The sequence below is a fragment of the Homo sapiens genome, chromosome 8 (assembly GCF_000001405.40).
Source record: "Homo sapiens chromosome 8, GRCh38.p14 Primary Assembly".
In the NCBI taxonomy this organism is placed as follows: Eukaryota; Metazoa; Chordata; class Mammalia; order Primates; family Hominidae; genus Homo; species Homo sapiens.
Window position 1 is genome coordinate 19,010,070 of NC_000008.11, and position 27,250 is coordinate 19,037,319.

Genomic DNA, 27,250 nt, shown 5'->3' on the forward strand with positions numbered 1-27,250 from the left:
TGTATAAATTATTCTGATTCATCTCACTGATGTACACTCAGAGGAAAGGGAATTTCAAACCAGATGGCTCAGGAGTGAGTGGTCCTCAAGTAAGCCTCAAGGAGTGAGTGGTCTGCCATGGCCGCAGCCTGACATGCAGGAAGGGGAGAAGAGCGGGCGGATCCCTCACACCACCGGTGTCACCAAGAGAGAAAATGCTCTGCCACCTCTGTGCCCTGATGTGTCAACAAAGTCCCTCCCCACTAGGCACCAACTGGGCCCAAGTTTGTTGACCTTCTGGGCGCAGTGAAAAACCTTTCTTTTGGTAGAGCAAACAAGCACTGCAGGGACATGCACTGTTTTTATATAAATAAGATAGCACACGCAAAGATTCATTATTAATGTTGAGTTATGCCTTATTTTCAAATGAGGCATGGACATTTGGTAATTTGGATTTAAGAATAACTTGTTAACTATATGCTGCAAATTATCCTTTTTCTCCATTGTAAATTGCAACAGCCACTACAACACTACTTAATTTGGAGCTTGTGAAAAATGTCCTTGAAAGATGGTCAACGTAACTCAGAAACACTCTTTGAAAAAATAATGCCACCACTTAAATTCTTTCCAGCAAATCCCTGAGTCTGCATACAATATCACAAACAACACAAGCTGTCAAGATATGGGCACTCCGAACAAATGCTCTGGAGAATTTCACATGGATCCTGTACTCTCCTAAATGAAAGCCAGGCTGGTTTAACTGTAAAAGAACTAGGAAGAACTGAGAGGCAATATTCAAAGTGAAAACACTTCCACTCTTAGCAAAGGGAAGCCAAGGACCTCTGTGCTTGGCCCAGACGGTCCGGGAAGAACCCCTAAATGGTGAGAATCACAACAGCAGTAATTCAAGGTCACACTAGATCCCCAGCCTCCTATAAGCCTGATTCACATACTAAACTCCACAGACTTTGGTCACCAGATTATTTTTTACAGTCTGACCCAACTTCAATCATGTCTGAATTCCTTTCCAAAAATTGGAAACGATCACTATCCATAACTCACCTCCCAATCCAACCCAAACCCAAAGACACTCTTTTCATAATGTCCAAATGACATTACCCCATGTAAACCTCAAACAAACCAGTCTTTAAGCCAAAGCAGATACACATTTTAATATTCACATGGTTTTGCCTCAGCATCTCTTAACCAAGACTGCAATTAACCTATCACCACACTGGTGTCTTAGTTTATGAATAATGCATGACAAATCACACCTGAATTTCTATAAAAGAAAAAAAATCACCTCCAAAAGTAGTAGTACCATGGACATGTTTTTTCAATGTAATGCCACGCTAAATTCCACTCAAATAATTTTCCATCAGGGCTGGCAAACAAATATGTAAATATCAAGGTTTTAGAAAGAGGGCAGAGCCATTGACTGAAAGTACCTTTAAATTTTTCTTTTTCAATGAGCTACTTCCATCTTACTTTATTTTTTTATTTCCAAATTCCCAAGATTTACTAGCCTGTAAGAATTTCCAAGGTTACTCAATTTTTTAAATTACTAGTATCTGATTAAAAGCAGAATTGAATTGCTTAAGTGCAATGTACATAATAAGGTATATGTTATTCTTTGGTCACAAATGAACAGTGTCAACAAAACTTTCTTTAAAGAAAACACACATTAAGATTGGCAAATCAAGCTTCTTATGCTCGCATTTAAAAAAAAAAAAACAACAACAACATTCAACCACGGAATTTGGCCGTAATAAGGTTATTTTAGCTTTGTAGCTCTAATCACTCTCCCACATTCAATGGTCAGGATAAGAGTGCTGATCCATTCACAGAACACACAAACAGATATTTAGAATGTGAAATTAAGAGTACATCACTGAATAAGTAATGCATAAAACGTGTCTAGGCATGGAAATATCAAATGGTAGGGCTAGAAGGCTCTGAAAGAGCATCTACCTAATCCCCTCACCCTACCAGGAAACTGTAGCGACAGAAGTTAAATAATTTGCCCAAGACGGTGGCAAAAACTCACCCAGTCAGTGGCAAAGCCTCTAAGCTAGGTGTCCTACCTACAGATCCAAGTCCCTTTCTTGATACCACTCTACTCCTTTTAGTACAAAAAGCTTCTATTAATGAAATATCTTACAAGACAAATCACTTGTGGATGGATATAAAAAGGTTGTGGAAGGACATCCAGCCAGCCACTAAAAACTGGTTGAAAAGGTGCTAATTTATTTTGCATTTGCTTAACTGGTGATGTTGAGCATGTTGCACTTTTAACTGCTGAAGAGGAATTTCATGACTTTTTGAAAAGAAAACCTCTTGGTTTGTAAATACTCTCAGAAAAGAAAGGATCATTTCTTGGAAAAGGGTAGAAAGTGAATTCCCTTTCCTTTAGCAGGGGACATCCTTTCCCTCACATCTCACAAAAATCCAATCAACCCCTCCCTTTCAAGGTCCAGCATAACTGCCAGCTCCTCTCTGAGAACTTCCAAGCCCGGAGGCCAGAAGCTTCCTCTGAGATCCTCCATGGTAGCCTACGCATAAGTCTCTCCCAGGCAAGCTCTCAAGCACGCTTCTTGAAAGCAGAAATCCTATCCTACTTACCTAGCTACCGGGCTTTGCAAAATCCTTTGCACATACTCAATTACAACGAACGCATTGAGGCATTTGTTGCCAGAATCCCACTTACAGTAATTTTCCAGATCTCCGTCTTCCCTACACCAACACCTGGACCCACTCAAGAGTTATTCTGGAGCGGAAATCCTGGATCCCGCTATCGGGAGAACCAGTGTCTAGAAAATGAAATCGTGGTGCCCATTCCATCCTCTGCCTAGTGGGCGTTTAACATCCTTTGACATCGAGGGGAATGGCAAAACGAAACATTTATTATTTAGGTCACCAACAACATTCTAAACCCACGTCCTCTAATCGGTGTTAATGTGTTTAAAAAAAAAATTCAGAACATCATTCGCCAGAACGGAAAGCTGAAAACGGCGGATAAAGTTAAATGCATGTAAAACAGAATGACTTAAACATCTGTAAAAGCTCCTGGGAATTGCACCGAATAATCTTCCCTTGTCCGTTTGCTCGCTCAATTCAAGTTTGTTTAGTTTAGTCTTTTTTTCTTTCTTTCTGACAGAAACGTGATAGTCCCTAAATACAAGCTGACCGGGCAAAGAAAGATCGGCATACGAGGTCCTCTTTCATGTTGCCTTCTTTTGATAGCTTTTCTCCAAAGTCTGAGGTTTTCAAAGCCGAGGTATGAACTAAAACCCCTAAACCTTAACACCACAAAGTTGACCCTGCTGGGCTCCTAAAAAACACAAAGCAAGCAAGCGCGAAGAGAAAAATCGCACCCTGCACCTATCCAGACAGCACAAACCCAGGTGGCCCCGGGATCCTGGGGGACAGAGCGGCGACAAAGCAACACAAACCCCACGTCGAACAGCGGCGCCGCGTGCGCACCCCGCGCCCGCGCCCCGGCCCCGGAGCTCACCGCTGCGCTCCTTCCTTCCATCTTCCATCGCCAGCCCGGCCGCGCGCCGAAACCGCCGCCGGGCGCTCCGGGGCCGCAGCCTCAGGGCGCGAGTGCCGGCGGCCAGCGCCGCGTGCTCTTTGTTGAGCTCCCGGGACTGCCGAGAGGCGGCGGCCCGCGCGCACCCTGGCGGAGGCTGGCGAGGCTGCGAGCCCGCGGCAGCCGCCCGCCCGGCCCCCAGTAACGTCAAAGCGAAGGCGGCGCAGGCGGGCCGGCGGTGGCGGGCCCCGGGGGCGGAGGGCGGAGGGCGGAGAGGCGGGGCCGACGCCTCGGGGAGGGGGGAGGTGGCTGGGCCTCCGAGGCGGGGGCGGGGTCTCCAGGGCAGGGGCGGGGCCTCCGGGGGAGGCTGGAGGCGATCCAGACCCTCGCAGTGCAGCCCTCGAGCGGCCCGGACCGTCCGCTGCCTCCCGCAGCCGCGCGCCCGCCCTGGGCCCAGCCTCCAGCCCGCGAGCGAAAACCTGCCTGTTGCTTTGTCTTCTTCCTTCACAGTTTTCCCACCCTGAGAAAAGTGAGAGGTGCTTTCCCTGGTGTTTCCTCTCAGGAAGGGCCGTGTGACTGGAGCCGCGAGTTGGGCGCCGTCTCGCCGGGGCTGGAGGTACGCGGGCTTCGGGACACGCACCTAGGCGTCCCTCGGGGTCCCGGCCTCTCTGACCGGGCTCCCCCGGCACCGATCCGCGGCCGGAGCGTTTAGTCCCGGGGACCCGTCGAGCCCTGAAAGGGCCATTTCCCCCTGAGGCGAGTCCCCCCAGGCGCCCCGCAGCCTGGCCTCGGGACTGCCCCCACCGACAGTGCGTGCGCGGGGAGAGGTCACTTAAAACTGCATTTTCGAACATTAGTGCCCCGGACCCGCACCTTTTTTCCTCCGTCCTTTGATCTGTGCCGCAGAGGCAAGGGCTGGAACGGCGCCCTCCCCTGGTAGAGGGACGGAGAGACCGCAAATCTTTCCCCCTGGGAGGTCCGTTAAGTAGATCCAAGCACCTGGAGGCGGAACCTGTGTGGCCGGCTACAGGGTGGTCCTGTGTATGTGTTACCGCCTTATTGTTCCAAAGAACAGTCTTTTTCAAGTGACAGGTAGAAGACGCCCCAATAACGAGAAGTGACTGACTTGGCCAAGCTTAGAGATGGGAGTGGAGTCAGGTTCCCTGGTGGCCCCACGATCTCGCCCACCATGTCAGCATGGGCTGCCCGGTGAGCATAGCTGAGATGCACCAAGGCCACATAAGTCACCTACTTTGCCTTGGCTGCCCCATCTGCATCTATCAAAGGAAGCCTTGGACACCCACCAGAGGAGCCAGCATGAGGGAGTGTATGCCTTTATACAAATTCACTCCAACTTCAGAAAAACGTCCGCAGCTCATGCTCCCCCTGCCAGAGCAGCAGTGTGAGCAGCTGTGTAGGTTTGGAAGCACCCCAGTCACTTGGGCATTGATATGGTTTGGCTGTATCCCCACCCAAATCTCATCTTGAATTGTAAGTCCCGCAGTTCCCAGGTGTGTGGGAGGAACCTTGTGGGAGGTGATTGAATTATGGGGGCGGGTCTTTCCTGGGCTGTTCTCGTCATAGTGAATGAGTCTCACGAGATCTGAAGATTTTAAAAATGGGAGCGCTTGTTGCACAAGCTCTCTCTTGGCCTACTGCCATCCGCTTAAGATGTGACATGCTCCTCCTTGCTTTACGCCATGATTGTGAGGCCTCCCAACCATGTGGAACTGCAAGTCCAATAAACCTCTTTCATTTGTAAACTGCCCAGTCTCCGGTGTGTCTTTATCAGCAGTGTGAAAATGGACGAATACAGGCATATTTCTCGTTTGTGATCTCCCTTTACCCTTGCGTACATACCCTACAGAGACAGTCCCAGTGTGCCTATTCCCAGTCAACTCCTGCCTTCCTTGACGGTTTTGTTGGCAAAGCATCAAAAGTAAGACCCAGTACAAAATGTAGTTGCTACCCTGAGGCTTGACCACTGGCCTACTGGCCTTTACCTGGGAAATTAACCAACTCATAAACAAACAAAAAAAAGTAATCATATAGGAGGCAGGGTGGACATAGATTTACTTGATATTTCTAGTTAAGGGACTTGGGCATAGACATCTATAATCTGAGCCTCTGTTTCCTCATTTATAAAATTGGGTTAATAATGCCATACAGAAGTGTTATTAGCATGATAAATTAAGGAAAGCTCCTGGCCTATAGTGAATGTTCAATAGAGGAGCATTTCATAAGTGAAGCCACAGAAATGTGTTTCCAATTTCCATCGCAAAGGAAATTTTTAATTGGTTTTATCCCTGAAGCCAAAATATTTTAAGATTGTACTTATAAAGCTGATCACATCTATTAAATAATCATTCATTCGTCCAGTTATAAATAATCAAAGATAAAATGGTTAGAGGTTCTGATCAGCATAAATTAGCCAGTGTTACCACTACTAAGTCAATGAAGCCTAAAGCAAATCAAATAAACATTGACATTTCATTTTTGCCAGCATGTATTTTGTGTGTAAATATTTTGTTAGGCTTTTGGAAATATTAAAAATGAAGTAAGAATCCCCATTTCTGCTACCATAGCCCCCAGTGCTCAAGTTCAGTGTCAGAATACACAAGCACCCGCCTTGGTAAAAAAAGAAAGGAGGCACGCAGACCACCTAGGCATGGGCTAGTGTATATTTATCCAATAACATATTCCTCCCCCACCTCTTCCCATGAGCCCTAATGTATGTGGTGTGGAGAGACTATATAGTAGGCAAGACATTATATACTGCAGGTCAAAAGAAGAAAAGGAAGATGAAATTCCATCATGTATTATTCATGCATACAGTTAATCCTTCCTATTTCTGAAGGTCACTGAAAAGCCCAGATTATTGAATATTTATTTTTTAGTACAACATGAACGTTTATTTAGAATGACAAAAATCTCAAATACAAATTTCTAAGAGTTGACAAATCCCACAAACATTACCAAATCCAGAAAAATCACACAATAGTTTTATCTACCACCTACATAATATTTTGTAGTAATAAACTTCCTAAAACACTTCAGTAATATTTGTCTTCACCTGTTTTCTGCTGCTATAAGAGAATACCACAGACTAGGTAATTAATAAAGAAAAGAAATGAATCTCTCACAGTTCTGGAGGCTGGAAGTCCAAGAGCACAGCAACAGCACATGGTGAGGGTGGTTCCATGGTGGAAAGCATCACATAGCAAGCAAGCACAAGAGACGGGAAGCAAATGGGGTCCAAACTTATCCTTTTGTCAGAAGCCCATTCTCTAGATAACTGACTCACTCTCTTAATAACAGCATTCATGAGAGCAGAGCCCTTATGACCCAATCACCTCTTAAAGGCCCCACCTCTTAGTCCTATTACAATGGCAATTAAATTTCAACATGAATGTTGGCAGGGACATTCAAGCCATAGCAATACTTTTTCCTCAAGTATTTTGGCTACATACTTTTTTTTTTTTTTTTTTTTGAGACAGTATCTCACTCCATTGACCAGGCTGGAGTACAGTGGTGCAATCACAGCTCACTGCAGCCTCTACCTCCCAGACTCAAGTAATCCTCCCACCTCAGCCACCCAAGTATCTGGGACTACAGGCACACACCACCAGACCCAGCTAACTTTACATTTATTTAAGATGGGGTCTCCCTATATGGCTAGGCTAGTGTCCAACTCCTGGCCTCAAACAGTCCTTCTGCCTCAGCCTCCCAAAGTGTTGGGATTACAGGCATGAGTGACCGTGCCCAGCCTGGCTACATACTCTTGATAATCTCATTGGAAAGATTTTTTTAAAACAGCTTTATCAAGATCCAATTCACATACCACACAACTCACCCATTTAAAGAGTACAAATCAATGTGTTTACTATATTCACAGATTTGTGCAATCATCACCACAGTCAACTCTGGAAACTTTTCATCATCCCCTAAAGAAACCCTATCCCCATTGGCGGTCGCTCCTCTTTTCCCTCCAAACCCCTCAGTCCCTGGCAAACACTAATTTACTTTCTGTTTCTACAGATTTGCCTATTCTGGACATTTCATATAAATGGAATCATAAAATATGTGGTCTTTGTGACTGGCTTCTTGCACTTATCATAATGTTTTCAATGCTCATCCATATTGTAGCATATATCAGAACTTCATTTTTTATTGCTAAATAATATTCCATTGTGTGGATAGGCCACATTTTATTGATCCATTTATGAGTTCATGGACATTTCAGTTGTTTCTACTTTTTGGCTGTTAGGAATAACACTACTATAAAAATTTATGTACAAGTTTTCATGTAGCTGTTATGTTTCCATTTCTCTTTTCCATTCTACCTAGAGTAGAAATTGTGGGTTATATCGTGACTGTATAACTTTATTTCCAATCTGTTTTCCACAGTGGCCGCACCACTCTACATTCCTACCAGAGCAATGTATGAAGGTTCTAATTTCTCCACATCCTCACCCACACTCATTATTGTTTTTGTGTTTGATTACAGCCATCTTAGTGGGTGTGAAGTGGTAGATTGATTGTGTGACATTTTCTATGGGTTGAATAGATAGCCCAGTCTTTTCTCTAGCATGGTTGATCACAATTTTATTATTGACAATTTAGGAAAATCCCACCCTCGCATTTATTACTGATAATAACATTTACACTTTTAATATGTTTTCAAATTTTGGAAGACCTCTCAAGTTTCTTTCATATATAACTGTAGGATTTCAAGGCATTTCATTTTTTATGCAATGATTAATATTAAATGCTCTTTTTAAAAAAAAAAAATGAGGCATAAGGGATCTTCCTAAGGTGATGCAGGTGTTCTATTTGGGTGATGTTACATTTGTCAAAACTCATAGAATTTTACACTTAAAAGCTGTGCATTGCTCGTATATAAATTTTACTTCAATAAAAGAAAAAACATATAATTTTGAATCAAGAGAAATGTTCCAATAGTCAATTCATTGTTTTAGACTGAAAGCTTAAGAGATATGTAGATGTGTGTGTACATGAAAGCACGCATGCGCTAATAAATCTGAAGCTGAGAACATCTTGCAAAAGGTAGAGGTGGAGAGCCACTTGGAATTTGTTTGGGCATTAAAGATAGAGGTGTTGATCCAAAACCAGAGAAAATACTTTTTCTTGAATCAAGTGTGTCTGAACATCAAAAATTTGACTACCCAAGTCTATCCTCATGAGAGTCAGAAGATAAGTTTCTTTTCTGTTTTGAGACAGAGTCTTGCTCTGTCGCCCAGTCTGGAGTGCAGTGGCTCAATCTCAGCTCACTGCAGCCTCCGCCTCCCGTGTTCAAGCAGTTCTTCTGCCTCAGCCTCCTGAGTAGCTGGGACTACAGGCGCACACAGCCACACCAGGCTAATTTTGATATTTTCAGTAGAGATGGTGTTTCACCATGTTGGACAGGATAGTCTTGATCTCCTGACCTTATGATCTGCCCACCTCGGTCTCCCAAAAGGCTGGGATTACAAGCGTGAGCCACTGCGCCCAGCCAGAAGATAAGTTTCTTATTCCTGGTGAAAGCTTAGGTAATTTACTTAGCTCTGGAAATAAATGCCAAGCAAAAAAAACAGAGATGGAAGGAATCATGAAAACAGATGAGTTCCCCAGGCTTCAGGTTAATGCTTTAAACTTAAAACTCATCAACTCATTTTTTTTTATCTCTATTATGAGTTTTGCCATTTCACAGATGTGAGTCATTGCACGTCAAAAAAGAAAAAAACTAAGTATTTTTCCATTGTGATCTATGGCTCACTCCTCTTTATTATCAATTCTCAAGCAATCCAAGAGTCTTAAAATATGCATTTAAAGGAAAGGGTTTTTATTTTAAATACATAAGCAACTCTAACCTCTACAGTATTTTCAATAAGCGGGCTGCCTACAACTGCTTAAGTGCACAGATAGGATGCCTTATAGATCATATAATAACTGCATACAAACCACTGATATATTAGAATACAGAACATAAGTGCCAGTCTTATTTATTTGTTATTGTATTCCTAGCTTCCAGAACTGTGCCTGGTCTGTAGTCGAGGCTCAACAAAAAAATTTTTCAATTAAAATTTGCCACTACCCAATGCAGAAATAGTCAACATACCTAAAATCATGATATGCTTGGATTTCAAAAGCTCAAGATGAAGCTGAGAGAATACGTCTGACACAAAATTCACCACGGTACTTGCCTGGTGGGACTCGACTGAATGCTGAGTGTATGCTGGGTGGGTGAGAGGGATGGGAGACAAGAAGGAAAGAGCAGAAATGTGGTTCATGTCCTTAGGGGTCGGAAGAGAATGGAGAAAAGAGGAAAACTGAGGAGGGAGTATAGTAAGTGCACAAGAAATGTTAGACCAGAGGGTGGTCCGGGGCATAGGGTAGACTCAGCTCACCTTTCCCCCAAGACCCGAATAACTGAGGTTAAGTCTCTATAATAAAGGTTCAGTTTATTTTTTATTATCCTTCTTATGGGTAGTTATTCTTTCATTCATTCATGTGACAAATATTTATCCAACATCTACCATGTGCTAGGTATAGTTTACTGACTCTAGCGGAGCACAAAGCATCCCTTCCCTCATGGAGCTTGGGAAGACAGAAAATAAGCAAGATAAGTAAATATATGTGATGTTATATGATGCTGAGTGTCTTGGAGAAAAACAAAACAAGGAAAGGGATAAGGCATAAGCAGTACAGCGTCAGGAGAGTAGATGATTGCAAAGGATATTGAGAGAAGACTTCACTGAGAGGTGAAATTTGAGTAAACACCTAAAGGAGGTGAGGGGGAAAGCCATGCAAATATGTAACTATAAGTGCAAAGGCCCTGAGGTCTTGCCTGGCGTGTTTTGAGCACAGCAAGGGGTCAGTGTGCCTAGGGCTGAGTGAGCCAGGTGAAAGGTATTCAGAGATGTCGTAAGTGGGACCTTATAGGTTGTTGTAAAGACCCTTAACTGCCCTTGGTAGATTTTGAGCAGAGGGGTAGGATGATCGACTTAGATTTTGCCAGAATCACCCGGTATTATGTATTGGAAGCAAGGAGGTAAATTAGGAGGCTACTACAACAATTCAAGCAGGAGATGATGGTGGCTTGGGCCAGGGTGGTGGCAAAGAAGGAGGTAAGAAATGTTGAGATTCTGGTCATATTTTGAAGATTGAGCTCACAGAATTTGCTGATGCATGAATGTACATTATAAAAGAGAGTCAAAGATGACTCAAGGGTTTGGGACTGAACTACCAGAAAAATGGAGTTACATTAACTAACTGGGGAAGACTGTGGAAGTAACAAGATTTAGGATGGGAGATCAGGCTGTAATTTTTGGACATGTTAAGTTAGAGTTAACTTTTCAACATTCAGCAGAGGAGTGCCAGGCAAGCCACTGGATATACAAAACCAGAATTCAGGGGACAGGTAGGAGTGGGAGCTGTAACAGAGATGATATTTACATCCATGAAACTGAATGAGATCACCAAAGGAGTGGATGGTAAAGAGAAAAGAGGAGAGCCTAATGCACTCCAATGCTCAGAAATTAGGGAGATGAGTAAGAACATGCAGAGGAATCTGAAACGAGCAGTCAGTGAAGTAGGAGGAAAACAAAAGAATGTTCTTTAATGGAATATGTTCAGATTATTTTTACATGAAACCTTTTCCTTTCTACAGTTTTCAATCAGCAGTGTCTGCGTTCTGCTCTCTCCCTACCTCCTGCAATCATCACTTCTCTTTTTACCAAAACTGTTCTATTATTTTCAGGAAGAATGAAAGAGATAGTGCTATATGCCTGTAATTCTAGCAATCTCAGTTTGTCTCAAGCTATGTTTTATGCCCAACCCGGTGTTACTAATACTCACTCCCAATTTTTTTTTTGCATAAATAATGACGTCTGGAATTAACTAAAAAGACAGATTTGGTCAATATACAGGTTTCCAAGCTGACAGAAATTGATTTATATTTTATTTGCTTTTTTGTTACAAAAAAAAAAAAAACCCATAGCTTCTTGGAATTGTAAAGAGAAAATCTAATGAAATCCATGTAAGTATCATAACCAGGATTTTGAATAAGTTCCATTCCTGGTTGACCAAAACTATCTGCTGTGATCCTTTTATTCAGTGGGAGAAACTTTCCCCTGGCATTATGTAAAAACTTTGCAGGCCCAGTTATTCAGCTTACTTGTAGGTCCTCTAAGCATAGTGTCAATTCAATAATTAAACTATGCAGTCCTTAGTCTAAACTTGACTTAGCATTAAATCTTCTCCTCTGCTTCAACTGGAAGAGTGCAGTTGTGAAAGGGAGGGTGGATGATATATTAATCTATTTGTGTTACTATAAAGGAATACCTGAGACTAGTTACTTTATAAAGAAAAGAGGTTTAATTGGATCAAGGTTCTGCAAGCTGTATAAGCAGAGCACCAACATCTGCTCAGCTTCTGGCGAGACTCAGGAAGCTTATAACTATTGCAGAAGGTGAAGCAGGGACAGGCATGTCACATTGTGAGAGCAGGAGAAGGGTTGGGGGGAGGTACCCCACTTTTTAAAACAACCAGATCTCATGTGAACTCAGAGCAAGAACTCACTTATCACCAGGAGGATAGTGCTAAGCCATCCATGAGGGATCTGTCCCCATGATTCAATCACCTCCCACCAGGCCACACCTCTGACATTGGGAATCACATTTCAACATGAGATTTGGAGGGGACAAACATCCAAACCATATTAAGTGGGGTCCTCTATTCCAGTTCCTCAGTCCTATGTACCCACTGGAACATTTCTTCCTGCTGAGCCTTGCCCTCTCTCACCCACCCTACTGGGTGGACCCCAAGAAGATAGACTCCATGCCAACTCTATTGCATGTGGCCCACATCTCTTCCACAAGAGACACTCACACATGCCCCTTGCCTCAGCAACTCTGGGAGTGTGGGCTGATCCCATCCACATAGCAAGGGCTTCCCTAGTCCCTATCCCAAAGCGGTTGGTCAACCCTCTCACTCTAGGTTTCGTGGGAAGAAGCAACCTCCATTGGTTTTCTGGAGCATGAGCGAGGCCACCATCTTCAGTGTTTTCCAGGAACCATTTGGGATTTCTCCAACAGGTCTCTTTGAACTCCTTTTACTAGGCTTGGGGCTGGAGAGTAGCACCCAGCTCTCTTCCAGTGGAGAGTAGAGCCAGGCAACAGCTGTCATCACCATCTCCTCATGTTCTTCTCTCATTAGCACTTATTTTTATAGTTTTGATTTGACTGACAAGGGATCCAAGATTGTAGAACAAAGTCTCAGGACCCTTTTTTTTTTTTTAATCTGTGCATGGGGTAGATGTTGTCCCAAATCCACTTGGACGTACTTTGCTGTGTATTACACTGTCACCTCAGTAGCACCCAAGACAGAAGGGGTCCCACTCTACCATCTTCTCATACTTCTTAGCTTGAAAGAGTCATAGCATTTTGTTTACTCACTGTAGATATATGTGCTCATAGGATATCAAGTTAATCACCTCCATCATAGAGTCTTATATTTGAAGGTAATAATTCTGAAAGATGGGAGAGATGTCCTTTGTGGATAGATATTGCTGGAAACAATCCTCCATCCACATCTAGCTCAATCATTTACAACCACATTGTGAATATTCAGGCACTTTGTATTTCCTATTTCTCACAGCTATGCTGTCTAATTCCATAGCTAGTAGACTACGTGGCCAGCCAAATTTAAATGGATTGAAAGAAAATTAAACTTAAAATTCATTTCTCAGTCTCACTAGCCGTATTTCAAGTGTTCAGTAGCCATAGGTAGTTAGTGGCTACTGAATATAGCCACTATTTATTTATTTATTTATTTATTTATTTATTTATTTATTTATTATTTCTTTAGAGACAGGGTCTTGCTCTGTCACCCAGGCTGTAGGGCTGTGGTGCAGTCATAGATCACTGCAGCCTTGACCTCCTGTGGACTCAAGCAATCCTCCCACCTCAGCCTCCTGAGTAGCTGGAGACTACAGACATGCATTACCGCACCCCACTGAATATTATTTTAATTTTTTTGTAGATAAAGGTTCTCACTATGTTGCCCAGGCTGGTCTGGAACTCCCGGCCTCAAGTGATCCTCCAGTCTCAGCCTCCTAAAGAGTTAGGATTCCAGGCATGAGCCACTGAGAATGGCTACTGTATTTAGACATTGCAGCTCTAGAACGTTTCCATGAATACAAAGAATTCTATTGACAGCACTGCTTCACAGTCTTTGGCACATAGGATACACCGGATAAACGACAAATGAAAGTTTGGTCCCAAGGTATCACATACATGATTGCCCTGATTTAATTTTCTGTGAGTGTAAAGCTTTTTAGCACAGCACTATGCACTGTACTGTACTGACTTGACCATTAAAAACAAAAACCAAACCTTTTCCTAAGTACATAGCTGCAGCTGCTTTTCTGTTTCATGCCTGAAAAATTATCTGCATCCTCCCAATCAGAAAATGCTTTATTATCAAAATAATTCCTGTAAACATTTGAGAAGAAAGTCCCCATTTCCCTCGGAGCACAAATAAATCACTTTTTCCAAATTATTCCAATAATAAAATGTTTTCAAAAGCAATATTTCTATCAAAGGGGGATTCCATAGAAAACATTCCTTTGCTGAACTAAGCATTTCACTTATAATCTTTTTTCCCAAAGATACGTTATTTCACGTATAACCTGTGGAAATTACCTATGCTTGCATGTTTTTAGATTGTAAAAGTACCCTGGAATGTCTCCAAGAGGACAGCAGGGCTTAGAGACACTGCTGCTCTGCAGGGAGTGATGAAGGGAGATAATGAAGACCATGCCAGGGGCCTCTGAAATGTTGAATCAGAGTCAGAAGACAGAAGGGGTCCCACTAACTCATTGTCTAACTGTGTGGGATAAAACAAAATATATTTGGTCTTTGTCCTGGTTTCTAAAACCCTTGGAATTTCCTGAGTCCTTCATTTTTTATTCATAAAGAAGCCACTTACGATGACACCTGAGCTTATGTTAATGAGGTGACTTAGGATGGAGCCCCTAGACTGCCCAAGGATGGAGTTGGTTATCAGAAAGACGACATGATTAGAGGGGTAGAACTTTCAGCCACACAACCGACCTCCAGGAAGGGGAGAGGGGGTCTGGAGATTAAGCTCTATAGAAGGTCTTGAACTGGGAGACTTATGAGCTTAGGAGTTGATGAATTCATTGAGGTGCTGGGAGAGTGGTGTGCCCAGAGAGGGCATGAAAACCCTGAAGCATCCCCAGTCCCCTGTCCTATGCATTCCTTTCATTTGGCTGTTCCCGAGTTGTAGCTTTTATAATAAACCAGTAAACATAAGTAAAGTGTCTGTGAGCCTCAGTTCTGTGAGCTATTCTAGTAAATTATCAATCCTGAGAAAGGGGTCACAGTGAGACAGGATAGTCATAGCAGAACAGAAAATTCCAAGCAGCAGTCTCATGACTAGCAAAAAGGAGCTGTTGAAAGAGCTGCATATACTAGGGACCAATAAGACCCTGAAAAGCAGGATGAGGGCCAAGTTGACTAAGACCAACCAGACTCAACATGGTGCTGGATTTGGCGTAGGTTTCACCTAGGATCTCATTACACACTCATTAACACCCTAAATCACACACCCACTAGTGCCATAATAGTTCATGGAACACCCATATTTGGTGTAAACATGGGTGACACCACAGTTCTGAGAAATCTTTATCTTTTTCTAGAAATCTTCATGAATAATCCACCCCTTGGTTAAAGAAACCCATAAAGGTAGAAACTCCAAACCCCGTTGGGCATGACTCACTCTCTTGAGTACACACACTCACACTCCCCTTTCTTGAGTGTGTCTTTTCACTTTGCCACAAAGCTCCAGACTTTCACTATTTTCTGACTCGTCCTTGAGTTTCTTGACGGTGTCCTTGAATTTCTTGATGGTGAATTCCTTGACTTGTCCAGGTGTCAAGAGCCTGGGCACTGGCCAGGGTTGAGGTCCTGCCATCATTTGGGGTTACCTCTCCTACCCCCCAGTATCAATGGGAACCTCTGATTTATGGCCACTTGGTCAGAAGTACTGGTGGCAACCCCAGACTTACTGTTGGCATCTGAATTGGGGAAAGTCTTGTGGGATTTTAACTTGCGGGTATGACGCAAATTCCAGGTAGATCATGTCATAATTTCAGGATTCCCAGTTGGCATCTTCAGAGAATTGGACAATTACTTGGTGTGGTAAAAACCCATACATTTAGTGTCAGAAGTGTAGTGTGAATAGAGAAACTGTTTTCTTTTACCATGGTGTGTTAGTCTGTTCCCACACTACCAATAAAGACATACCTGAGACTGGGTAATTTATAAAGGAAAGAGGTTTAATGGACTCACAGTTCCACGTGGCTGGGGAGACCTCACAATCATGGCAGAAGACGAAGGAGAAACAAAGTCACATCTTACATGGTAGTAGGCAAGAGCACCTGTGCAGGAGAACTACCCTTTATAAAACCATCAGATATTGTGAGGCTTATTCACTATCAGGAAAACAGCAAGGGAAAGACCTGCCCCCATGATTCAATTGCCTCCTACTGGGTCCCTCCCACAAAATATGGGAATTATGGAAGCTACAATTCAAGATGAGATGAGGTTTGGGTGGCGACACAGCCAAACCATATCCCATAGGACCGTCATATTCTTAGGCTTTCATTTCTTTTCTCTGAATAGGAAGGATGGCCTTTTTGACTGCCAAATTACAACATTCTAGGATTTAAAGAGCTTTATTAAAAGCAATCTTTATCTCCATAACTCTCAGAGGTTTTTTTTTGTAAGTTTTCAGTGACAAGGGCTAATCGCAGAAGCTGTCTCTCAGTGTTCTGAATTGTGAATGCAAAAACCTAAGAGAAGTTAGAGCTCTCCAGAAGACAGAGACAACACTTTATTTATATATTTACTTTTAGTTTCCAGCACTGGGTATATTGCCTATCATGCAGGAGGCAATTAATAAATATTCACTAAAGGAGACCAGGTGTGGTGGCTCATGCCTATAATCCCAGCACTCTGGGAGGCTGAGGTGGGAAGACAGCTTGAGGCCAGGAGTTCGAGACTAGCCTGAGCAACATAGCAAGACCACATCTCTACAAAAAAAAAAAAAAAAAAAAAAATGCCAGGCTGTGGCAGCACACACCTATAGTCCCAGCTACTTGGGAGGCTGAGTTGTGAGGATCGCTTGAGTCCAGGAGTTTGAAGCTGCAGTGAGCCATGATTACATCACTGCACTCTAGCCCTGGGCCACAGAGCAAGAGCCTGCCCCCCCACCCAAAAATATATATATATACAAAGAAAGAAAGGAAAATGTTTACTGAATGAATGAGTGAGTGAAAGAATTCTCTCTTCTTATTTTGGGCAAGAATAGTATGTTGTTTAAGAATTTCTTTGATTTCAGTGGCTCTAAAGAGAGAAATGTTGTAAACATTGTCGACAAAGTTGGTAAGAGGACTGCAAATAGAATTCTCATTGCACAATACACGCATTATGAACCCTTACATTGGAAAATCTCTGTACATTTGTTTCTGAAAGGAAGGAAATCTATCAGCTCTCTCTCAATTTTCCTATTAAAGACTCTCATTCTGTCAGATCAGAGGTCTCCAAGGGAAAAAAACAAAAAAGAAAAAGAAAAAGAAAAAGACTCTCATTCTGGACATAACTGCTGAGTTACCTGCAAGAGGTAACACATTTCTAGGGCTGAATTCTGACAGAGTGGAGCTTTTTGAGCCACTTCACTTGTAAGTTCTGGGAACCCAGCTGTTTGGTTTTTTGATTTGTATTAATCCACAGTCAGAAACCCCAGAGAAAAATTTTTGCCTTCAAAATCAGCTTTATTGAAATATAATTTCTATAGTGTAAACCTCAACAATTTTGTGTACAATTCAATGAGAGTTGACAAATGTATAGAGCTGTGTAAGTTCCACTACAATGAGGATATTTCACCCCCTCCTCATGCTCCCTGCAAAGTTCCACGCCCCTATGTCAGCAATCCCATCCCTGTGGATGCTGAGATCAGAGCAACTGCTGACAGAGTTTTAGCTCTCCGTAGTTTTGTCTTTTTTATAATTCTGTATTAATAGATTCCTATGGTATGAGCTCTTTTGTTTCTGCCCTCTTTCATATAGCATAATGCTTTTGAGATTCATCCATATTTTCACATGGATCTTTAGTCATTCCTCTTTATTGGACAGTGTTCCATTGTATGGATACATAATTTGTTTTTCCACTCACCAGTTGATGGACATTTGAGTACTGTCCAGTTTTGGCTATTGCAAATAAAATGCTATGAACATCTATGTTTAATTTTTTGTGTGTACATGTTTGTTCTTGGATAAATACCCTGGAGTGATATTACTGGGACATATGGTTAATGCATGTTTAACTTAACTTTTTAAAAAATCTGCCAGTTTTCCAAAGTGGCTATGCTATTAACACTGTGTTGCATTCCCATCTGCAATGTATGAGAGTTCCAGCATTCTATATTGTGGCCAACATTTGGTATTGTCAACTTTTAAAAAAACATTTAGCTTTCTGAGCATTTCATTGTAGTTTCTCTGGCATATCTTCATGATAAATGATACTGAGCATCCATCCTTTCATGTACTTATTTTCACTTTGTGTGTCTTCTTTCATAAAGTGCCTGTTTCAATCTTTTGCCACCTCTCACACCACCCCCCCCCCCCGGCCCACCCTTTTTTTTTTTTTTTGGAGTTGGAAGATTGTGAAGATTGTGTAGATTGTGAAGCCAATCTACCTTTTTTTGGAGTTGGAGTCTCTCTCTGTTGTCCAGGCTGGAGTGCAGTGGCGTGATTGTAACTCACTGCAGCCTCAAGCTATCACTGGGCTCAAGCAATCTTTCTGCCTTGGCTTCCCGAAGCGCTGGGATTATGGATGTGAGCCATTGTGCCCAACTCCCATTTTTTAAGATGCATTTTTTATACTATTACTGATTTGTAAGAATTCTTTATACATCCTGGATACAATTTATGTATCAGATATGTATTTTGTAAATGTTTTCTCCCTGGCTTTGGCTTGCCATTTAGTTTCTTGGGTGTCTTTGAAGAACAAATGTTTTAAATTTAAATGAAGCCAATCTGCCATTTTTGTTTATGGTTTGTGCTATGTTGTGTCCTGAGATATCTTTCCCTAATGTCATGCCACAAAGATTTTCTTCTATGTTTGCTTCTAGAATTGTTATAGTTTTAGCTCTTATCTTTACATTTATGAGCCATTATGTGTTAATCTTCACATGTGCTATGAGTTAAGGGTGGAGTTTCCTCTCTTCCCAGATAGATGTCCTGTTGTTCTAATTCCATTCTTGAAAAGATTATCCTTTTGCATTTACCTTATTGAAAATCAATTGACCATTATATATGTGAACTACTTTTGAACTCTCTCTTCCATTTCATTGATCTATGTCTCTATACTTACAATAATGCAAAGTCTTCATTACTAGCTTTATAGTAATATTGAGATCAAGTAGTGTAAGTATTCTAAATTTGTTCTCCAGTTAAAAATTGTTTTGACTCCTCTAGGTTCTTTGTATGTCCAAATAAATTGAGAATCAATATATTAGTTTCATTAAAAATGTCCAGTATGATGTCAATTGGGATGGCACTGAATCTGTAGGTCAGCTTGGAGGGAATTGAAAATCTCAACAATTTGTCTTCTAAAACATGAACACTCTATATCCATTTATTTATATTTCCTTTGATTTATTTAAGCAATGTTCTACAGTTTTCAGTGTATAGTACTTGCACATTGTATTTGTCCATTCTCATGCTGCTAATAAAGACATACCCGAGACTGGGTGATTTATAAAGGAAAGAGGTTTCATTGAATCACAGTTCAGCATGACTGGGGAGGCCTCAGGAAACTTACAATCATGGCGGAAGGGGAAGCAAACATGTCCTTCTTCATATGATGACAGCAAGGAGAAGGGCAGAGCAAAAGTGGGAAAAGCCCCTTATAAAACCATCAGATCTTGTGAGAACTCAGTATCAAGAGAACAGCATGAGGGTGAACATCTCCATGACTAAATTACCTCCCAATGGGTTCCTCTTACCACAGGGAACTACAATTCAAGATGAGATTTGGGTGGGGACACAGCTAAACCATATCACACATATTTTAAGTTTATACCCAAGTATTTTCATGCTTTTTGATGCTACTGTAAATGGGATTATTTCATTAATTATTATTTCAAAATTTTCACTAATAAATTTTATTTTTGTATGTCGATCTTGCATTCTGTGACCTTGCTAAACTCACTTATTAGTTCTACTAGTTTCTAAATTAAAATCTTAATAATGATTTTCTACATAGCTGATCATGACTTTTGTGAATAAAGAGTTTTATTCTCTGTAAAGAGCCTTTTTGCACTGGTCAGGAATTTTAATGCAATATGGAATAGTAGTGATAAGAACAGACATCCTTGCTTAGTTTCTGATCTTAGGGGAAAAGCATTTAGTCTTTCCCTATTAAGGAGAATGTTAGCTTTTGGTACATGCCTTTTGTCGAGTTGAAGAAGTTCCTGTCCATGCCTAATTTGCTGAAAGTTATTTATCATGAATGGGTATTGAATTTTGCCAAATCCTGTTTCTGCATCTTTTGAGATACTCATATGATTTTTCTTTTTTATGCTGTAATTTTGGTGAATTACACGATTAGTTTTCAAATGTTAAACCAAATTTACATCTTGAGATAAACCCTATTTGATCATAATGTACTATTGTATTAGTCTGCTGATACAGTTTGGATATTTGTCCCCACCCAAATCTCGTGTTGAATTGTAATCCCCAGCATTGAAGGTGGGGCCTAGTGGGAGGTGTTTTGATCATGGGGTGAATGATCCATGGCTTGGTGTTGTCTTTCTGATAGTGAGTTCTCATGAGATATGGTTACTTAAAAGTGTGTGGCACCTCTGCCGACCACACTTTCTCTCTTGCTCTTGCTTTCACTATGTGACTTGTCCTCTCCCCCTTCACCTTCCACCACGATTGTAAGCTTCCTGAGGCCTCCCTAGAAGCCAAGCAGCTGCCAGCACCAGCTTCCTGTACAGTCTACAGAACTGTGAACCAATTAAACCTCTTTTTAATTACCGTTTATCATCTATGAATTATCATTTATCCTGTCCATCCCCGTATCAACTTAATTTCTAACCTTCTACCACTCCATTTCTAGATCATCCAAGGAATTCAATATGGTCTTTGTCACAGCCTTTGAGAGCGATCCTAATTTTGGTTATGAAAAATATACCTGGATAAGCTGCTTTCTCTTTCAAGTCCCTCTTCTTCAACTCATTTCTAAACGTAACTCCTTGCTATAGAAGATCATAGCAGAAACAGTCCTGTGTGTTTCTCAAACCATCTCAATTTCCTCCTAGGCACAAAGGAAGACTACATTTCCCAGTCTGATTGTATCTATGTGGGGCTATGCTACCAGTTCTGGCAAATGGACTATGTACCAGCAGCACGATATACCACTTCATGCCTAGCACCTACAATCTGCAAGACAGCATCTGCATTCTCCTCTCTGTCTACTGTAGGATTATCAGTGTCCAGCAAAACCAGGACATTCACCAACATATTTTGTCAAGTAAGCAAGAAATAAATTTCTATTGTGTTCATGTACTGAAACTTAAGGGTTTCTATTAAAGTGGGATGATTACTTCCGTTGACTAATACCTAGCACAAACTACACTCAATCAAGTATCAATAATAAGCATATTATTTATTATACGTTTGAAAGCTGGAAGAGAATTATTTTGTTCAAAGAAATGTGGATCAAGTATCTTGAAAGCATTTATCAGTTTAATAACATTTGGCATACTACTTTGTGGAGAAAAATCACATAGGGAACAGAGTACTATACGGTAAATGCAAAGTCCTTCTATAATATTTTCTGTTGAGCTGACCTCTGCTTTTTGATATGACAAAGTCAAGAACAATCTGAAAAAAGTATCAAACACATATGTAGGTGAGGGTGTTCCCTTCCCTCCCAACAAATGGACTAAAAGGCTCTCTAATAAGGAGACTTAGGATGCAAATCCATTAACAACAACTATATTTGACTCATCATAGTGCTGCTGGGTGCTACTTGGGAGGAAAATGGGTGACATTCTGATGATCAATTTGTTTATGTATGTTAACTAAATAGGGGCAGAAAAATAAACCCACGAGCAAAACACTTAGTCTCATAGAACTGAACTAAAACAGAACTAAAAGAGGCATTAGACATTATCTAACTCAATCTCAGTTTACAGATGAGAAAACCCTTTTAAAGACTCTTCCTGATACAGTTGTTTGGATAGAAACATCATAATATTTTACTTTGAAAATTTCCTAATTAGACGCATCCCACAATCTCTTCTATTTTGGAGAAATGATAGCCTGCTTAGGGAAATCCTTTCTGCACACTGAACATGACTTGGGAATGGGATGCTCAGGCCTCTGAACACCTGGAGCGAGGGGACCAACACAGGATGCTAATCTGAAACCAATGGACCCTACCTGGTCATTTTACTCTAAACACTGTCTTCATTTGTCAAACAGTTAAAAATAATTTCCTTTTATTTTATATAAAAGACATAAAGTTTGTTGAGGAATTTTTATTTTTAAAAGTTCAACAGTTCATCCACTTGCACTACCCCCCAACAAACACACACACATGGTAAGTGAGATGTGGTTTATCTGCCTATCACTCGTGTTCATATGTTAAATAAAATATTTAGAAACAAATTAAAATTGAAAGCAGCTGGGTGTGGTGGCTCACTCCTGTAATCCCAGCACTTTGGGAGGCCAAGGTGGGAGGATTGCTTGTGCTCAGTAGTTCAAGGTCAGCCTGGGTCTTGAACTGGTAGTGAGACCCCATCTCTACAGAAAATAAATAAAATTAGCCAGGCACAGTGGCACATGCCTGTAGTCCCAGCTACTCAGAAGGCTGATGTGGGAGTATTGCTTGAGCTCGGGAGGCCAAGGCTGCAATGAACTGAGATCATGCCACTGTACTCCAGCCTGAGTGACAGAGCAAGACTCTGTCTCAAAAAAAAAAAAAAAAAAGAAAGGAATCCAAGTTGATTTATGTTGTAATGTAAGCTACATTCATCTGCTATTAAAGTTTTTCAGGTAGGAAAATATTTCCAAAGAAAATATTAGTAACTTATAGCTGATGAACATTAAACATTAATGTTAGAGTGTAGAAATTACATCTCACTTTTTGTGAATATAAGTTGAATATGCTCATATTATTGTTAAATAACTTCTGAAAGTATTAAGAAGGCTAGTTTAATGGTCAAAAAAGTTTTATTTGAGGAAAATGCCACATAAATGTCACCAGTAAAAAACAAAACAAAAAACTAACTAGGCATGGTGGTACCTGCCTATAATCCCTACTTGGGAAGCGGAGGTGGGAAGATCCCTTGAGCTCAGGACTTCAAGACCAGCCTGGGCAAGACTGAACATAGCAAGACCCTATCTCAAAACAAACAAACAAACAAACAAACAAACGGAACAAAACCACACACAGAGAGACAAACCCAGGAGCCTATTCTGAATCCATTTGGTTCAGAAAAAAAGATGTTATGTGATTTTTAAAAAGTTATTTCATAGATAGAGAAAGATACACAACCAACATTTTTTTTATGTGAGATTTTCTACTTTAATTTTTTTCACATGGAAAGTGCACATACCGGACATACTAGTTTATTCCGCCTCTACTGTTATAGTTCCTCTAGTAAATGATTGATTATAGAACAGCTAACAGCAAACTGGTATTTTTCTTTTGTCTTTTACTACCTATTTTATTTTTCGAAGTTTACTTTTGATTCTCTCTAAGAATAGTGTTTCTCTTCCATTTCCAAGAACTATGTAGATGTAATGTGAAAATCAGGACAATTTAAAACGTCTCTTCCTTCCTTCTCTGCTTTGAGCTCTTTTTTTTTTCTTTTTTTAAAATCTGTTTTTTTTTCTTTCCTTGTACCATTTATGTTTAGCCCTTTCACCTCCCTAGTACTCATTTTCTCATTCCCTTTTCCCTTGGCTCTCTCTCAGCTTTGCTTGAAGGTTTTTAGTGGGTTCCTTGCCATTCATACCCAATTATCTTAGTGATAGCAGCACTCCCAGGAATTGAAGTCTCATAAGTGGTTGGGATGGAATTGACACCACAGCCCCACAAACAACTCTATAACTGTATGGATTTTAGTGGTTTCTGTACAAACGTTCAGCAACTGGGCAGAAGCTGGTCATCATACAATGTTGTTAAAGAAAAAGAAAGATACATGAGAAGGAAGGTCATGTTATTTAAATCTAGATTGGTTCATTGCCCTCTCACTGATAGAGGGGTTAAGCAACAAGGTAAAGATAAATAAATATCTAGGGAAACGTGATTATATACAGAAAACATTCTGAATATGAAAGGAAATAGTTTGTAATGTGAAAACACAATGGGCCACAGACTTAGGAAAGCTAGTTGAGAAAAAAATCTCTATTTGTAAAGGATCTAATGGATCTCAGAGGAAAACCTGGCAGAGACTGGGGCGTCAGAATTAGTGGCTCTTTTTCCCAGAGTTAAGGCTAGTTCAGGATAAAAGTCTACAAGAGAAAAGTTTGCTCTCTATAATACCATTTCATCAATAACATTGTGTTACAGCCTAGATCCCCCAGGTATCACATTATAGCAAGAATACAATATAGAAAAGGTTAAAGGATTAAACTAGACGTCCTTTCTCCCTTCCTTCTGCAAAATTCATGGAATCATATGGACCTGGAAATCATTGATTTCAACCTCACCCTCAAAGCAGGAAACCCTTAGACAATATTTTTAACAGGTGGTCATCCAGTTTCTGCTTCATTACTTCCCGTGCCAGAGAAGTGAGTCACTGCCTTGCAAAGCAGTAATTCTACATTTAACATCCTTTTAAAGACAAATACTATCCCATAAAGAGCTGACAGTCATGCATCACTCGCTAGGTACCAGGTGAAGGCCTCAGTGCTTTACTGGGTGTGTTATTTTGGAAGTTCCCAGATGACCCCCTGCAACAGGCTTGTGGCTTAGAGTGGTTAGGTAGCCAGACTTGCAGAAGGGACAGAGTCTGGATTTGGGCCCAGTCTTTTTGACTCCAGACGAGGCCTTCACATCACGCTGAATCACACTTGCCTCCCTGTAGCTTCCACACGTTCACTCTGGTCTGGATCCCAGAGGACAAAGCAAAACTCCCGTTCTTCCACTTCAAAGCCCTCCAGATACGTGAAGATAGTGACTGTCTCTTCTCCCTGCCCTCCCTCTGCATCCCCTCTCCTCACAGACTAACCACGAACAGATCCCTCTGTTAATTCAGAGGCAAATTTTTTTGAGGCCTCTTTCATTCTAATGCCACTCTTCTAGAGATGGATGCTCAGGAGCAAACATAATAGATAAGATATGAACAGAGTAATGATTGCAGATGAAATGTTCATTTTTGACTATCAGATTCAGTAAAGGAAAATCTTTTCTGAGTAACAAATATAAAAATTGTCATCCATAAATATTTGATATTGCATGTGTCTATGTATACTTGCAAATCTTTTCATTATGAACATAGTAATTATCATCTTAAACATATTATAGCACTACATAATAATGATTTATTGCCCAAACTGAATTATGTTTCAGGAATTAAGAATGAATTTGATGGATACAACCATTTCTGTGTATCTCTATTTACTGCCATGGCAACAAATTAAAATAGTTTCGTTTAATTAGTTGTTGGTAAAGCACTATGAACATGAAAACTGCTATTAATGGATACACAGTGTTTAGTGTTAATGCTAGTGTTATCATAAATGGCACAGTGTTTATGGACAAAATAAACCAATTTATTTTCCATTAATAGTAATAATTTCATCTTTGAATTAGGAAAAGGATTTGTTAAAAAAAAACAACAAAATTGTCTAGTCTCCCTTTTATGTTTTTTGTGTTTAAAGGCAGGTTCTTGTTATGTTGATCAGGCTGGTATCAAACTCTGGGCCTCAAGCAATCCTACAACCTCAGCCTCCCAAAGTTACGTTTTTTTTGGCCAAATTTTAACCAACATTATACACTCAGGCAGAAGAGAATATGACTGCATATAGTGATGACCAAAATATCCCAATGAAAACAGGTATACTTTTTTTGGGGGGGGTGTGGGGGTGACTGGATTTCACTCTTTTGCCCAGCCTGGAGTGCTATGACCCGATCTCAGCTCACTGCAACCTCCACCTCCTGAGTTCAAGCCATTCTTCTGCCTCATCCTCTCAAGTAGCTGGGATTGCAGGTGCATACCACTATGCCTGGCTAATTTTTGTATTTTTAGTAGAGACAGGGTTTCACCATGTTGCCCAGGCTAGTCTTGAACTCCTGGACTCAAGTGATCTGCATGCCTCAGCCTCCCAAAGTGCTGGGATTACAAGCATGAGTCACCATGCCCAGCCAAAAAAAATATATTTTCTAATGGCTGTTGCAATGTTCAAATCACCACTGCTGAGCCTTTTAGTTTCCTAATACAGAAAGGAGGACGGAGATTGCCGGCAATGCAGAGCTGAAGGAATTAACCACATCACCCACCAGGAACTATTTTCAGAATGGCTCAAGGAGTTGCTTGTGGAGAGCTTTAGATCTCCCCAAATCTTGTCAACTTCCCCAGTGGCCCCCAATGCTTATGCAATCTCAATAAAAACAGCTGCTTACCAGGAAGGTGCAGTTCCATGCCCAGTCCCCTCCCTTCTCCTCCAACCCTAAGTCTGTCCTAGGTTGAAATTTTGAAGCTCCTTTAGACCCGCCTCCTGTCATTGACCTCTCAAGTCTTGGAGGTCCCATAGCTGATATCATACAATTTAGAAGCAGAAAAACCCACCAGAGATCCTCTAATCCAGCTCTCTGCCTTCTAATAGGTAAAGTATTTTACAGATAAGGAAACACAAAGTACTAAAGAAACACAAAGATAAGCAAACCAGTTGAGCTCAGAGAGTGCTGCAGATGGAGTGAATGGGCTGGACTCCATCTGGATTGTGGTAGGGTTATGTGGCTTGGGTTGGAAATCTTATCCATGCGTAAACTGAGAATGCCTTCAGCTATCCTCACTTAGACCAGATTCATGAACCCCAGGCTGAATACTATGTAATGAATTAAATGGACTATCTCATTGCCAGTCATTGAAATGTCCTCTTGTACGTGGTGGTAATGAATCAGACCAGGGCTCTTCTTTAGACACTAGTTCACCTCAATACTCATCTAGGGCCAGAAGAGGCCAAAGATGTGAAGAAGGATGAATTTGACTTCAACATTAATCTTCCTCTGAATATCCTGTGTATCCATGTTGCAACTCCCCAGGATTGACCCTTTCAGCCGTGTCTTATTGTCTTCAGCATCCCCTGTGTCCTAGCCCCTACTCCCACCACTAATTAGAATTTACCTATCCTTGGGATCATCCCATGTGACTGCCAAAGGACTCTCTTACAGTCCTTACTCTATTGCCAGGTAACGTATTTGTGGTTTAAAGGGATATTTTGATCGCTTAAGCCTGAGGAATGATTGAAAATGGCAATTTCAGGCCCTATGGCAAATCAATGATAGAACTTTCTGTGCTGAAGAATCTGACCTGAGAAAGGTCTGCTTGCAAGATGCCGAGAGCCACCAGTGGGGACACTGTCCAAATACAGCTGATACAAAACTGGCTGCTGGAGATGCTGTCCAGGGA

General features: G+C 41.2%; 1 protein-coding gene and 1 long non-coding RNA gene across 20 annotated transcripts in view, besides 2 other annotated features; one reads left to right on the forward strand and one right to left on the reverse strand.

Moving 5' to 3' along the window:
- PSD3 (pleckstrin and Sec7 domain containing 3) overlaps positions 1-27,250 on the reverse strand; it is a 557,503-nt gene that overhangs the window by 482,767 nt on the left and 47,486 nt on the right. For 14 of the 19 annotated variants that reach the window (NR_182062.1, NM_001412872.1, NM_001412871.1 and 11 more), the window contains exon 1: positions 3,494-3,634. The exons of the other annotated variants lie outside the window; for them this stretch is intronic. Coding sequence is in view for 9 of the 14 variants with exons in the window: in NM_001412872.1 (NP_001399801.1) it covers positions 3,494-3,521 (28 nt within the window). In the remaining 5 variants the exon portion in view is untranslated. Of the gene's footprint in view, positions 1-3,493; positions 3,635-27,250 lie in introns of those variants that run through there. 19 annotated transcript variants of the gene reach the window in all.
- Positions 3,518-3,617: a silencer, noted in NCBI's record as "silent region_18967". NCBI's record gives its function as "represses an Ori minimal core promoter by ATAC-STARR-seq in GM12878 lymphoblastoid cells {active_cell/tissue: GM12878}" and the evidence as "EXISTENCE:reporter gene assay evidence [ECO:0000049][PMID:35858748]".
- Positions 3,688-3,777: a silencer, noted in NCBI's record as "silent region_18968". NCBI's record gives its function as "represses an Ori minimal core promoter by ATAC-STARR-seq in GM12878 lymphoblastoid cells {active_cell/tissue: GM12878}" and the evidence as "EXISTENCE:reporter gene assay evidence [ECO:0000049][PMID:35858748]".
- LOC124901898 (uncharacterized) lies at positions 3,934-21,176 on the forward strand. The gene is made up of 2 exons (XR_007060840.1): positions 3,934-4,127; positions 20,924-21,176. It is a non-coding gene; the product is annotated as an uncharacterized LOC124901898 (long non-coding RNA).